Below are 15,544 nucleotides of genomic sequence, written 5' to 3'. Positions count from 1 at the left end.
ACTCTTGAGCATATCTTTATGAGTGGTAGGTATATTTATTGCTAGGTATACTCTTATTTTCTTGTTTTCTTATAATAATTTGTACAGAATTTAACCCTGATGCATTTTTGTTCATTTTTATATGGTACAGTTTTTTTCAAACTTTAGAAAAATGTGGGGTTTAGAGAAGCTTTTCTAACTTTATAGAACTTTTTTTTATGTAGTGTTTAGAAATGTGGGGACTTTGTGAGCATTCTAAACTCTGTTTCACTTCCATCTCCACTTTTGTTTTTTCTCCTTTTTTTTTTTTTGAACAGTTTCTCCTATCTCCTTTATCCCTAGCTTGCTAAATTTTGAAGCTGCTTCCAATAGTTTTTCCTGAGAGTTAGGGAAACCAAAGGAAAAAAAAGTCAGTTTTGAAGTTTCACAAAAGCTGTTAGACTTCCCTGTTCTCATCATGCCTTCTTACAGTCAGCCCCTTGCACTCTGTTGTTACTGGAGTGGGGAAGGTTCCTCCCAATACTTGCTGTTTTCAAATTAACCTGAAGCTCTTTCCAGATGTCACTGTTTTGGAATTCTCCTATTCTCAGGTCCATCAGCCTACTTGGTTGGTTTCCAGTTTTCTTCCATATAGATGTTAATAACATTCAGCCCTTTCGATTGAGAGCCTGCTTGGTTTTTGATACCTTGCCCCCTAGTTATATTGTGTATAATCTCTGTGGAGTTTTGGTTTTGTTAACTAGCCCCTCAGTCTGGAGATTTAAAGAGACTCCAAAGCTATGCTGCCACCACTGCCACTTTTTCAGAATTGATCAGCACTGGATCTTTACCTTATATACTCTTGCAATTCTTCTGGTAATTATTTTTTGTACCAGATCATCTACTAATGTTTGGTTGTGAATAATGTGATGTGATTATTTATTTTCCCATGCTAACAGGTAATAACTTAGGTCATAACCCCAAACATCAAGTTAAACAGAATTGACACTGTAGCATATGCAACATTAGATAGAAAATGGTTAAAATAGGGAAAACATTTCTTAAGAGCAGTTTAGTAGGAATTTAAATCTAAATTGTATTTTTAGAACATTTTTGCAAATGTAATTGGACATATACACAGAGATCGGTGAATTTTCAGCAGTGTTCAGAATAGATAAATATTAGAAGCAAGCTAAATGTTTATCAATAGGAGATTAGTGAAAGCATATCATGCAACCATTTAAAATGACTCCACATAGCTATACTCAATACTTAAGGGAAAAGTTCTGCAATTATTCTTTTCCAGACTTGTTAAAACACAAGGATATTTTATAGGAAATACGTATATATGCAGGTATTAGTCTGTTTTCATACTGCTATAAATAAATGCCCAAGAGTGAGAATTCATAAAAGAAAGAAGTTTAATTGACTCACAGTTCTGCATGGCTGAGGAGGCCTCAGGAAACTTGCAATCATTGCAGAGGAGGAAGCATGCCTTATATGGTGGTAGTCGAGAGCGTGAACAAGGAGGAACTGACACCTGTAAAACCATCAGATCTCATGAGATCTCACTCACTATCACAAGAACAACAGAAGGGGATCCACACCTGTGATCCAATCATCTCCCACCAGGTCCCTCCCTCCACACATAGGGATTATGGGGATTATAGTTCAATATAGGCAGTTCAATACAGTTCAATTTGGGCAGGGACACAGAGCCAAACCATATCGAAACAAATATATACATATACATATACATATACATATACATATACATATACATATACATATACATATACATATACATAGAAAGGTATCATTGACTTCTGGTGACGTAATTTCTATTGATAAAAAATATTTTTGTATGGCTTTATTTTTCTACATGATAGTGCATCACTTTTATATGCAAGAGAAGTATAAAGCTCCTTTCATTAGGAGGTGGGGAAGAAAAAGAGCATTGGAATTCAACAGATCTCATAACAAATACAATCATCTTCATTATTTGCAGGCTCCACATTTGCAAATTTGCCTACTTGCTGAAATTTATTTGTAACCTCAAAATCAATATGCACTTCACTTTTGCAATCACTCACAGGCATGAGCAGAGTGGTGAAAAATTTGAGTTCTCTGAACAGCATGTTTCCAGCTGAATTCAAACAAGGCAGCACTCTGCCTTCCTGTTTCATCTCTCATACTGTAAACATGTGTCCATTTTGTGGTCTATTTATGCCATGTTTTTTGCATTTCGTGCTTCTTGTTGATGACTTGGCTGCTTAAAACGGGCCCTGATTATAGTGCTGAAGTGCTATCTAGTGTTCCTCAGTGCGAGAAGACTGTCATGTGCCTTACGGAGAAAATAGATGTGTTAGATATGTTTTTTGCAGGCATAAATCATAGTGCCTGCTGTGAGTTCAATATTAATGAATCAAAAATATATATTAAATGAGGTATCTTTAACTAGAAACACACAAAACATAAGGTGATTGATCAATTGACAAAAACGTTAGAACCAGAAACCTAACCCTCTATTTCTTCTAGGAGCAATGGTTCTGTATTTGCTACTTCAGTGTTTATGAAGACTTTATGTGTAGTGCTCAGCCTTGTTTTGCCCCAGTTTTCAAATTTGAGATTTTAGATGTCTTTTTTGGATGACTTCAATATGTTCTTCAGAAATGCTTGCTATTTGCTTTGTTTGTCAACACTGGAAGGTTTGTGCATTTTATCTGTAATATTTTCTTAGAGAATGGGCTTTTATTTTAAAATATTTCCCATTGATGCTCAGGCTACAAAATCTCCTTGGGACAAAAGCATGATGTCATGTAAACCTTTCTTTATGTGACCTTCCAGTGTTAGCCATGCTTAAAATTTTACTTGGTTGAAACTGCTAAAGAAGAATGTCTGGTTAGGTACCTCATTTCCTTACGTAGGAAGCTGCATTGGTCAGATCCTGCTGCTATAACAAAATACCATAAATTGGACAGCTTATAAACAACATAAATTTATTTATTGTAGTTCTTGTGTCTGGAAAGTGCAAGATCAAGGTGCCCAAAGATTCATTGTCTGGAGAGAGCTTGCTTTCTGGTTCATAGATGGCAGCTTCTCTATATGTCCTCACGTGGAAAAAGGGGGTGAGGATCTCTGTAGAATCTCTTTTATAAGGGCACTAATCTCATTAGTGAAGGTTCCAGCCCCATGAACTAATACCTCCCATGGACCCCAGCTTTTAATACTATCATCACATTGGGGGTTAGCATTTCAAAATGTGAATTTGGGGGATGGGCTGTAGAAGCATTCAGACTACTGCACAGCATAAGACAAATATTATAAATGTTGCTTTTTAAATTTAGAAGTAGAGGAAATATGCTTGAGCTACTCAAGACCAATATAATAATAGTTCACAATTACATTATTTTGGGAAACAGTATCTGATTCATTTATTGTAGAATTTTGAAATGCTAAAAGCTAAAAAGTTATTAACTAAGCTATTAGGATTAGTATTAATTAGATATTTAGAGTGTAGTAACCTCTTTGGTAAGTTCTATGTGTTTCTAAAAGAGATATAGTACATAATTGTGATTACGCCAGATTTTTAAGCTTTGTCCTTGACATATGAGTGGGATTTAGATATTCAGATATGATCAAATAGGCATGCCAGATGAGGAAGAATCCACAGGAAAAGTCAAAAGAAGGAAAATAATCATGTTGTATGTTGGAAATAGTGAGATGTTCTACCTGACTAAAGCTGCATTTCATAGAATAATAGGAAATTATTAATGCACTTGAATATAGGATTCCAGAAATGTTTGTATCCTTGACACCTAATTGCTCAACAGTATCAGTTGAGTTAAAGTGATCTAAGAGATATGTTCATCCTAATCATTCATTTTGCAAAGAAGGAAACTTAAGCCTGGATAAGTCAGGTTACTTCTGCAAATCCCACTTGAAACAAATTGCACACACTCACCAATATCTCCTAATTCCTGTTCCAGTGCAATATCCAATACTAAAATGTTCCAGAAGGTATAAGTCATTTAATGTTCACCCACCCAAAATCCACTAGAGGCTTATTATAAAGATTCTGTTGAAGGCAATACAAACACAGAAAAACTGAAATCTCCTTAGAATACCTTGTAAAAAAGGAAGGGAACCATTTCAAATGAAGGGGATATGACTGATTTAGTCTTCCATAAAATCCATAGTACAAAGAGGCTGAGATTTTTTAAGACTATGGGTTCAGGCTCCAATAGCAGCTTTTCTCCAAAGGAAAACAGGTGAAACACCACAGCTCAACTAGTGTATGCTAAGTGGTGGGATGACTCGTCAAAGATGTCCAGATTTACTGAACATTTTCTGCCCTTAGAACAATATTGGTATTGGTAATGCCTATCAGTATCGAGGGGAAAGGTCATTCACTGTAAACCTTTACTTCCATGTCTTCTCAAGGAAATCAAAGTGTATCAATACAAAGTGGAAAATGCCCTTCCATCATCAGCTAATTGTTCTATACCCTTCCAGACATCCAACTCTTTCTAAACAGTGGAATGTGGCAAATGCAATAGTTTTCAGATCTTTGGCATGTTTACTGTGAGTGTTAAGCTGATCATCTGAATTTCTCATTTCACAACCATGTGTTTTGTTTTTTCAAAATGTAGAAAACAGGTTTTATAGTACCCATTTTTCTCAAGGTAAATCTCATGGTACTATTTTTATTTCAAATCAATATCTCCTTTACGTTTGTTGTATTACTATTGTTTGTTTATAGCTTTCCCTATTTTACCCTGACACCTATACTAAAAAGAATTAACCTGTGTGGCACACTGAAACCTGAAGCAAACTCCAGATTCCATTGCCTTCTAAATAGTTAATTCTGAGTTAAGTTTTGACCCTGTTGCTCTGATTTTACAGTATCCACAGTGCCTAGTACCAGTAGGTACTCAGAATATTTGAGGAACGAATTACTATCATGTCCTTAGACGTAAAGCACAAAGAATTCCTAGTAAAGGATGGAGCTGTAATTGCAAAGAGAAAAATAATAACAATGACATCTTTCATGTGTAGGTCACAAGAGAACTAGCTCGCTGTGTGCACTAAATATTTTTCTAGCTGTGTTTTTTATAGATTTTCCAGAGACCCCATCAGCCGGGAAAGCAGGTGTTTTACAGGTCCAAAGAAGTTCATAAACTGACTTAGAGTTGCATATTCAGTAAACAAGTGTTCAAACTCCTGACTTCAAGTCCATTGCTCTCTACAAGTCCACTATAACAGGCTACGCTCAATTGTTATGGGCGTCACAGACTGCAACAATTTGTTAAATACTTCAGGATTTTGTCTTTAACATAAATAATTGATATGAAATCTAGTAGCATTGGTATTTTGAGCATTTGACTGGTAACCTACTTGAGGAAGACAGTCATTGTGAGAGGTGACAACGTGCTAGCAACCCTCGCTCGCTCTCCTCGCTCTCAGGGCCTCCTCAGCCTCGGCGTCCGCTCTGGTCTCGCTTGAGCAGCCCTTCAGCCCGCCGCTGCGCTGTGGGCGCCCCTCTCTGGGGCTGGCCGAGGCCGGAGCCCGCTCCCTCTCCTCGCGGGGAGGTGCGGAGGGAGAGGCTCCTGCAGAAGCGGGGCCTGCGCGCGGCCGGAGCGCCAGCGCGGGTTCCGGGTGGGTGCGAGCTCCGCGGGCCCCGCACTGGGCGTGGCCTGCCGGAGCCTGCTGGGCTTGATCAGGGGATGAGCTCCCGCTGGGCTGCCTGACTGCCTGTGGCGAGTGCCAGTGAGAGGTGAAGCTGGCTGGGCTTCTGGGACGGGTGGGGACTTGAAGAACTTTTCCCTCTAGCTAAAGGATTGTAAAGGCACCAATCAGCACTCTGTCTAGCTAAAGGTTTGTAAACGCACCAATCAGGGCTCTGTGTGTAGCTAATCGGGTAGGGGACTTGGAGAACTTTTCTGTCTAGCTAAAGGATTGTAAATGCACCAATTAGTGCTCTGTGTCTAGCTAAAGGTTTGTAAAGGCACCAATCAGCACTGTCAAAACGGACCAATCAGCACTCTGTAAAACGGACCAATCAGCTCTCTGTAAAATGAGCCAATCAGCTCTCTGTAAAATGGACCAATCGGCAGGATGTGGGTGGGGCTAGATAAGGGAATAAAAGCAGCCCACCCAAGCTAGCAGCAGCAACCCGCTAGGGCCCTTTTCCATAGTGTGGGAGCTTTGATCTTTCACTCTTCACAGTAAATCTTGTTGCTGCTTGTTCTGTGGGTCTGGCAGCCTTTATGAGCTGTAAACACTCACCACTGAGGTCTGCAGCTTCACTCCTGAGGCCAGCAAGACCACAAACCGACTGGAGGAATGAACAACTCCAGATATGCCATCCTAAGACCTGTAACACTCACCGCGAAGGTCTGCAACTTCACTCCTGGAGTCAGCAAGACCACAAACCTACCAGAGGAAGAAACTCCAGACACACCTCAACATCTGAAGGAATGAACAACTTCAGATGCGCCGCTTTTAAGAACTATAATGCTCACCACGAAGGTCTGTTGCGTCATTCTTGAAGTCAGTGAGACCAAGAACCCACCAATTCCGGACACGTTGGAAGTTCTAAAAAGTTTTAATAGAAAGTATTAACAGATTTATCTAAATATGTGTCATGTGTCAAAAAAATTGTGACATATGTTAGTGGCTGTTTTTGTTTATGTCCCTCAAGAAGAAATCCCATCCACTGTGTACTTAAAATACGCAAATTTTCAGTTATAAAATTTTTAGTCAGACCACATGACACAGGAGGGCAATGTTATATAAAACACCTGCAGAGCAGACTAGCCTTCCTTGTTCCTTGTTATAGAAAATATACCTGCCAGAAACTAAAATAGCAGCTTAAATATGATAAATTCATAGAAAATTTTGAAAACCATGCAAGAACTCTCCTCTGTTTTTATTTTCCTAAACTTATAATCAGGCATCATATTTGTCTTGCTATTTCAGAGATGTACATCCTCTTCCAAAACTGCATAGGGGACAGATGCTCTGCAGTGAGCAAATATCAAGGAAATAATGAATTGGAAGTGACAAATGCCTTCAGCCAAAAGTCCAAAGGGAATCATCATCTTGAAATCATACATAGCAGAAGGAGCCAAGGAATGAATGAAATGGCAGAAGTGTCCCTGTTAATCCAAAAATTAAGCTCAGAGGTTGTGTTAGGCTAAGCTAATCGAACCAATCATGGTCTTTCATTTTGAATTAAAGCCTATTCATAAATAGAGGACATGCTGGAATATTCTCAACTGGATTAGGGGACACAAGACAGCTGAATCAGCAGCATGATCAAGAAATATTAGAGTAATGGGGATTTATTGAGCAAGGTAAGTAGATGTGGCTCTGTCTCTGTAAGACTTTACAAATGAGGACTGACAGCACTGATCTGGGAAAACTTGTCAAAAACAGAAGATTGATGGGGTGGCATTATGCTAAGAGCAGTTTAGACAGTACTGTGTGTAAATGGAGCTTCTACCTTCTGGAAACTTAGAATCCAAGAAATATAAAAAATAGAAAAAGGCAACAGTCATCATCATCATCACTTGTGCCATTTCTTGAGCTGTTTGATGGTGCTAAGTAATAGGGCAGGAGCTTTACATGCATTGTCTCCTTCAACCCTCACAACAGCTCTAAAAGTTTTCTTCTCCATTTTACCATTGGAGAATCCAAGGCTTAGCGATCTCTTGCTCTAGGTGTGTAGTCAATAATGGGTGGATTCAAAAAGATCTCACTTCAAAGCCTGTGAGGTATTCGTGTATGTTACTGCCTCCTGAATAAGTCACAAATATATTGGATTATTAATAAAAGAACAAAATTACTAATCCCAGACAGAACTGGATAGTGATAACAATGTGTTGCCTAAATCACAAAACAAGAAGAAAAAATCAGCCCATTTATTAATAAAATTGCTATTTATGATTGCACAGAGAGGGGGTATCTAGCATATGCATTGACCCTAATTATAATTGCTATTGTGTGAAAACACTGAATGTGTCTAAGTTGCTACTTTGAGAAATGTAAAATAAAAATGCAACTCTATTCTCTCTCAATGTCAGATACCAATGACTGCAGTGAACAAAATAGGTTTTAATATAATCAACCAGTGTTTAATAAATAATTAGGGATGTTAAGATAACCTTAACTAATGAATTTCCTATTAATGTCTCTTTACTTATTAAACCCCATAGCCTTTAGCCAGTAATAGAAATACCAAATCTAAATTAAGGGCAGGCATAACTTATTCAGACTTTTTCAAATGAATGTGTTATATACCCTCAAGAAGAATCTAGAAGTTTCTGAATACACACAAAGACAAAGCAGGAATTCTCAAATAATCATGAATGAAAAAAGGATAACAATTTTTCAGTCAAATCACCTAAATAAACTACACTGCTCTATAGAACAGTATACATTAGGGCCAGATCAATCTTTAAGAAGGAGAAGATGAGAATAGGAAATAGTAACACATATTTATTGTTTATTGCAGCTAACATTTTTTCATTGTAATTTCTCTTTTAAGACTGTTAGAGTAGGTAAAATTAGCTAATTTCATTAATGAAGAAATTGAGCCATAGAGGAGCTAAGTGATTTCGCAAAAATCAGAAAGTCATGAATGGTAGTCCTCATGTTGTAGTGTTTTTGTTTTTGTTTTTATTTAGAGTTTGATGCCTTAAAAGTGAGAGAGGAGGAGAAAGTTTAAGTAAACAGCTACTACAGTTCCATTTTTAGCCTGAATTGGACTGTCTTTCAGTTGAAATTATGGAAATTAAAAAGGGGAGTCAAAATGGGTAGATTTACTGGAGGGCTTCTGTTTGGGGCCAAATATTTCTATGACAGCCACATGAGGCTGCTGCCATTCCTTGCTCCATCACTGGTATTAGAGTAACATTTTGCACAAAAATTGGTTACTGTTTCCCCAGACTCCTGTATTTTTTTTTTCAAGTGCCAAAAGCCATTGTAGGAAAGAATTTAAAACTCTTTTTTAATAGAAATGAGTGGCCATCAGCCAAAAGTCTAAATGAAATTGTCATGTAGAAACTCTGAACAGCAGCATGAATACGCAGTCAAGTTTTATGCAGGGAACAAAAAGGGCTGATGGTGTAACATGGTCAATAAAATTAACAACAACACACATCCAGAGACCAAAAATGTTTCTCATCTGATCTATGCAATAATTTAAATGTACAGCATTCAACTATAAAAACTGAATCTATTTTCACTTAGGATGTAGAAAACTGCAAAAAATTTTCAATCAAAAAACAAGACAGATAACCTACAAAACCATAATTTTTTAGAGCATATCAGATAGTTCAGATCATAAGGCAACCAGGAAAACTGAGATCAATGAGTTGGTAAACCTCCTAGGAGAACAGGATACGTAAACTGTTACATCTTTGGCATAGCATGGAAGTAACTGGCCACCACAGAAGCAGCTGAGAAAAAAGGCTGAAATGTAAACACCTTCTTAAAGTCTTAATATAGAGTGCTTCTGGAGAAAAGGCAGGTAACTTTTCAACACCCTAGACATGCTGATTTCAAGAAGTTGTTTGGTACTGGAGGAGGAACAAGAAATTCTATCCTGACACAGCCATCTGCTGCTGGGGTTGGGGTAGGAAACTCCTTCTAGGTTATTGTCCTAAAACAAGGCGCATTTTTGCTGCAAATGGGGGAGAAACAGGACTCTCATTTACCCTAGTCTCCTGAGATACAAAGTTTAGGTTTGTTGCCCTTTAAGAGGAACAGGAAATTTGTTTACTTTCTGGACTCTAGGTTGAGTAGGAAGAGAGGTTACTTGCATTTGAGAAAGGGCAGAAATGCTTAAAAAATAAAAATAAAAAAAAGGCTGTCTCTACATTTCACATGAAAACTGCCCACTCAGGACTAAGGCAAGAAGAGAATAAACAAGAAGCATCTTTATCCTCACCATGAGACTTCAACTGATATGAAGCAAGAGCAATATATCACAGGGGAAGGGTGAGAACATGGCACAGGCATGAAGAATTCAATGAAACATAAAAGCAAAACAGGAACACTAGGAGAAGCTCTCCAGCATCCCACACCTCACGGTAAGCACAAGGTAAGCACTAAATCACCACTGGAGATATTTGAAGCCTGTGATGTGCTCAATTTGACAGTGAAAGCAATCACAAGGCCAAATATAGTTCAAATTACAGAAAATATTTACTCAATCTCTCAACATAAGTCTGGGAGAAGAAGAAACATGTGCTTTTCCAGGAAAAGATGGTATTGACTTCAGCCTCTATTATTTTTACATGCAGTGTCCAGCATTCAATTGAAAACCAGAAGACACAGGAAACACATGGAAAAAAAATGCCCCATCATCAAGAAGTAAAGTAGTCATTAAATCAGATGGTCCAAATGTTGAAATGGTCAGATAGGTAGTTTAAATAACTAAGGTTAATATGTTAAAGGATCTCGTGGAAAAGGTAAACAACGTGCACGAATATATAGAGGACTTCATCAGAGAGATGCAAACAAACAAACAAAAAAAGAAACAAATTGAATTATTAGACATGAAAACACAATATCAAAAGAAACCAATGTCTGTGATGTGATTATCCACAAACTGAACACATGAGAATAAAGAATTCACAAGCATTAAGATGGATCAGTAGGTATTATTCAAACTAACACCAAAAGAAAAAAAAAAAAGCAGACGAGAGTATCAGAGGCCTTGGGACAAGATCAGTCTAATATATGTATACTTGCCATAGAAAAGGAAGAAGCTCCAGATGGACACAATAAATATTTGAATAGATAACATCCTAACATTTCCAAATTTCATTTAAGGTAACACCAAAGATCCAAGTAGCTTAGATAATGCCAAGCAGGATAAATACAAAGAAAAACTAGGTGCATCATACTTAGACCGTTAAAAGAAAAAGAAAAACTATTGAAGGCAGAAGGAGTACAAAGAAATATTACATAAAGGAAATCAATGGTAAGAATTTTAGCTGACTTCTCATCAAAAAGCAATGAAATCAAGAAGTCAATGGAATGGCATCTTGGATGTGTTGAAATTTTGTAAAAAGAATATTAGTGTTCTACTAGTAAAAAATATCCTTCAAAAATCAACATGACATATAAACACCTACAGAAATATAAATACAAAATAAATTCATATCCAGCAAAGTCACAAGACAAGAAATGCTAAAAGAAATTCTCTAGGTTAAAGCAAAATGTAATCATAAAAAGTCCTTTTATTTTCAATCTGTTCATATCTATATAATTAATAGATGAGTCTTACTTAAAAAAAAAACTATGGTTGGATTGCACACATTTTTTATCCAGGTTAACAGTCTTTGCCTTTAAATTGAGACTTTATTTCAGTTATGTTTAACTGAAATATTGATATATTTGAAATAAAGCCTTGACTTTTAATTTCCATTATGCTATCTTCTTTTTGTTTGTGTTATTTTCATCCCTTTATGTAGATGAAGCATTTTTTTAACTTTTTATATTGAAATAATTACACATTTACAGGAGGCTGCAAAAATAGGACAGAGAGGTGACACATATCCTTTATGCAGATTCCCTCAATTTTTATTACATCTTACATTACTGTAGTACAACATCAAAACTCAGAAGTTAACATTAGTATGATGTAGGTATATATTTCTATGTCATTTACAGTTGTGTAATAATTACTACAATCAAAGATACAGAACCATTCCATCACCACAAAGATCTTCCTCATACTACTCCCTTAAAGTCACACTCATTTCTATCCCTTCTATTATCCCTAATCCTTGGTGGCTATTAATCTGTATTTTATGTATATTATTTTGTCATTTTTGAGAATGTAATATAAATAGCATATAACCTTTAGAAATTGGCTTTTTCACTCAGCCCAATACATTTAAGATCCATCCAAGTTGTTGTAGTTTATTCCTTTCTACTACTGAGTAGTATTCTATGGTATGAATATACCATATTTTATTTAATTATTCACACTTTGAATGATATCCAGATTGTTTTCAGTTTTGGGCGGTAACAAAGCTACTGTGAGCAATCATGTACAGGTTTTCGTGTGGATATAAGTTTTCATTCTCCTGGAATAAATGTAGTACAATTGCTGGGTTGTATAAGAGTATGTTTAATTTTTAATAAATTGATAAGCTGTATTACTTTACATTTGAACCTATAAAATATGAGAGATCCAGTTTATAAACATCTTCACTCAAATTTGCTAGTCACTACTTTTTAAGTTTTAGCTATTCTAATAGTTGTGTAATGATATCTCATAATGGACTTAATTTTTAATTCCCTATTGGTTAGTGATGTTGAACACCTTTTCATATGCTTATTGGTAATCTCTATATCCTCTTCAGTGAAATATCTTAACTTATTTTGTCCGTTTTCTAATTAGATATTTCTGTTTTTCCATTGTTGACTTTTGAGATGACTTTACTGTATAAAGGTCAAAAACAGGCAATATTGCTTAGAAATACATGTGGGTAGTAAAATTTTAAAATAATGCAAGGAAATGATTTTCATGCAATTCAGGATACTTGCTAATGCTAAAGGGGAGAGATAAAGTTGTGATGAGGATGGCGCAAGCAAAGGCTCCTTGGTTGCAATCAGGGTTCTCTTTCTTGACCTAGCTGTGCTTTTTCTTGACACTGGTATTGACTTTTTTATCACTGTTTGTTAAACTTATCCTCATGTTGTGTGCTCTTTCCTTTAATGTCTATTGTGAGTTACAGTATTTTTTTTAATAATAACAAAAAATACTAGGACTCTGGAGCATTTACTAATTATCAGACATTGTCCCAAATACTTTCTTGAATTCACTGTGCCATTTAAACCTACCATCCCTATCAGTGATCCCAAGAAGTAGCTACTATTATTATTCTATTTTATGGATAAAGAGGCTGAGGTTCAGAATGTCTAATTTCTTTGAGGTAGCATGGCCAGTAAATGTCATAACTCAAATAAGCAACTCCTCCTGTCTGACTCCAATGGTTACGTTCTTACTCATTATGCAAAAATAACCATTTTATTTATTAGAACAATAATAGCCAGTGTTTATTATTTCAGCTCTGATTGTTATTGAAGATTTGAAACATATAAAAATTGAGAAAATAACTCATTAATAGAAAGCCACAAAAGCTATGGTAATGCTATTTTTGAGATAGAATATTTTTATTTTAATAATTAGTGATTATATGAACTCTAGCTCTTACAATTAATTATACAGGAAAGTGATCATTCCACTACCCTATGTTGCATCTACTGAATGAATTAAGACACATATACATGCCATTTTCTATTATAGTAAAAATTAAATATCAGTTTCTTTTGTAACCACTTTACTCAGAATTGATGGCATGGGTATCATTAGATTTGAGAACCCCATGATGATGCCTATGGACAGTACAGCTCATTAGCAAAAAGTCTCTAACCAACCTCTAATAAACTATACTCCTGTTGATCTGTGGCTGCTTTGTTCTTCAGGCTTCTCTCCTAGGAATTTAGAAAGAGATATGTATCAGTTCATATTTATTAGCTCAATGACTATAGAACTCTGACTTGCTTCAGGCCATGCAGTAGTTATAGAAATACAGAGAAAAATGAAACTTTACTCCTACCTTCACGGCCTAGTGGAAGAACAGATTATTTAAGGTATATCCATAATGAAATGTGAGAAGTATGATGAACAAGCTGTGCACGGAGTGTTATAATAACCCAGACAACTCCTAACCCAGGCTTGAGATGCCATAGACATATTCCAAGGTAATGCTTATCATTTAAGTATAAATAACTTTATTAGTATGTGTATTTTTTGTGTAGAAGTTTTACAGATACAGCAAGAAAGGAAATTCCACATTGAGAAAAAAATATAAATAAAGATATGAAATTGAATGAAAATATGGAAAAAGCAAGTACCCAGTAACAAAACTACAGTAGTAGCCAGGGGCCAGATAGTGGAAGAACTTGTATTCCTTATTAAAGGCATTGGACTTAAACCAATTGCTATTTGATGGGATATTATTAATTAATTTATTTAATTTCAGGTTTAAAGAGATTTAGACTTTCCCTCCAAAACATGGGAGAATTTGTCTCTTTTGGAATATTTTGTATATGGATTTATCACAGAGTAGCATTTCATGAAATAGATGCACCACGATTTGTTATACATTTATCTGTTACTGGGCATTTGATTTATTTCCATATTTGGCTATTAGAAATAAAGCTACTCTTCCTAAAAATATGTTTGCATAAATTATATTGTTAAGTAATACAGAGGTTCAAAGTGAACAGAAATTCAGATTTGTAACCTCTATATAAAATTCAGATTATAGAAGAGGAAAAATGGCAAGTTTAAAACTTATAAAGTATAATAAAGTACATAATTATAATTAAATTTATTTATTAAACTGATATTGATCAAGACTAGTGTATGTCAAGTGCTGGGAGAGGTATTGGGTTTGCCATGGTGAATGAAATAGGCATGATCCAACTCTCATGGAGCTTATAGTTCAGTGTGAATAAATTCAAATATTGAAACAAAAAACAAAGCAAACGTCAAATGCTAAAACTTTTATTAAAGCTCCTCTGTCACGAATTAAGGTATCTCAATGGTTAGAACAGTGCATGGGTGTTTCCAAATATCTTTGAAATCCATCCCTCATTCTATTCATCTATCCTTACAATGCCTTACTCTAGGGACTCCTTATGTGGGAACTGCGTCTCTGATTTTACATTCAAAGATAAACTAGCAGATGGGACAATACTCCGTAATGCTGGAGCTACACACTAAAGAAATAAGACTTTTTATGTGGATTTACATTTATTTTGGAAATCAGAAAATTAGCAAGCATATTTGCAGAGTTATTTCATTTAAAAATTTACAAATGTATACTTTGAATTTCAGATAAAGGGGACTTTTTAAAGTAAGAAAATGTTTACATCGGACATAATTAATATGTAAATATATCAAATTTCTTAAACCAGTATACCATCAGTGAAGGCAAGTAGACTTGAAAATGACAAATTAATGATTAGCTATCATCAGGTTACTTTCTCTTTTTTAGGTATTAAGGGACAAGTTTTAGATATATAATCTGATTTTATGCACAAAACCCTATCAGGTAAATATTATCCCATATATGTTGCCAACAGGAAAGCTCAGGCTTAGTTTTGTACAAGGACACAACAGGTAAGTGATGGTGCTGGAATTTGAACCCAGTTTCAAAATGGTTCTCATTTCCTATTTTTATGCGTTAGTTTGCCTCTTATTCCTTCTTAGAAAGAGCAGATGATCTTTTTTTCAGATGTGTTTCTTCTAAGTAACTGGAAAGGACAAGTAATCTAAAACTATTATTTTTACATCTGGATATTATAATACGGAATTAGAAAGGGCCAAAGCCAGCATTAGAGAATATATGGCTTGCTCAGAATTTATTCATTTTAACATCTAGAGGAAAATGGAATAAAACCTTCCAGTGGCAACATTTAACTTCTGTGTTTCTACAAATTTGCATGCAAAGCATATTAATTATGCAATTATTCTAAAAAGCATGCATTAACA

General features: G+C 35.6%; 1 long non-coding RNA gene across 1 annotated transcript in view; it reads right to left on the bottom strand.

Annotated features, from left to right (window-relative positions):
• Positions 1-13,184: 13,184 nt before the first annotated feature.
• The window catches only part of LOC102723879 (uncharacterized), a 78,954-nt gene continuing 76,594 nt past the window's right edge, over positions 13,185-15,544 (bottom strand). The window contains exon 4 of the long non-coding RNA XR_428991.3: positions 13,185-13,476. This is a non-coding gene — a long non-coding RNA (uncharacterized LOC102723879). The remainder of the gene's footprint in view (positions 13,477-15,544) is intronic.

This window comes from Homo sapiens, chromosome 11 (genome assembly GCF_000001405.40).
Source record: "Homo sapiens chromosome 11, GRCh38.p14 Primary Assembly".
Taxonomy (NCBI): Eukaryota; Metazoa; Chordata; class Mammalia; order Primates; family Hominidae; genus Homo; species Homo sapiens.
Note: the sequence above shows the minus strand (reverse complement) of the source record. Positions and strands in the feature narration are given on the sequence as shown.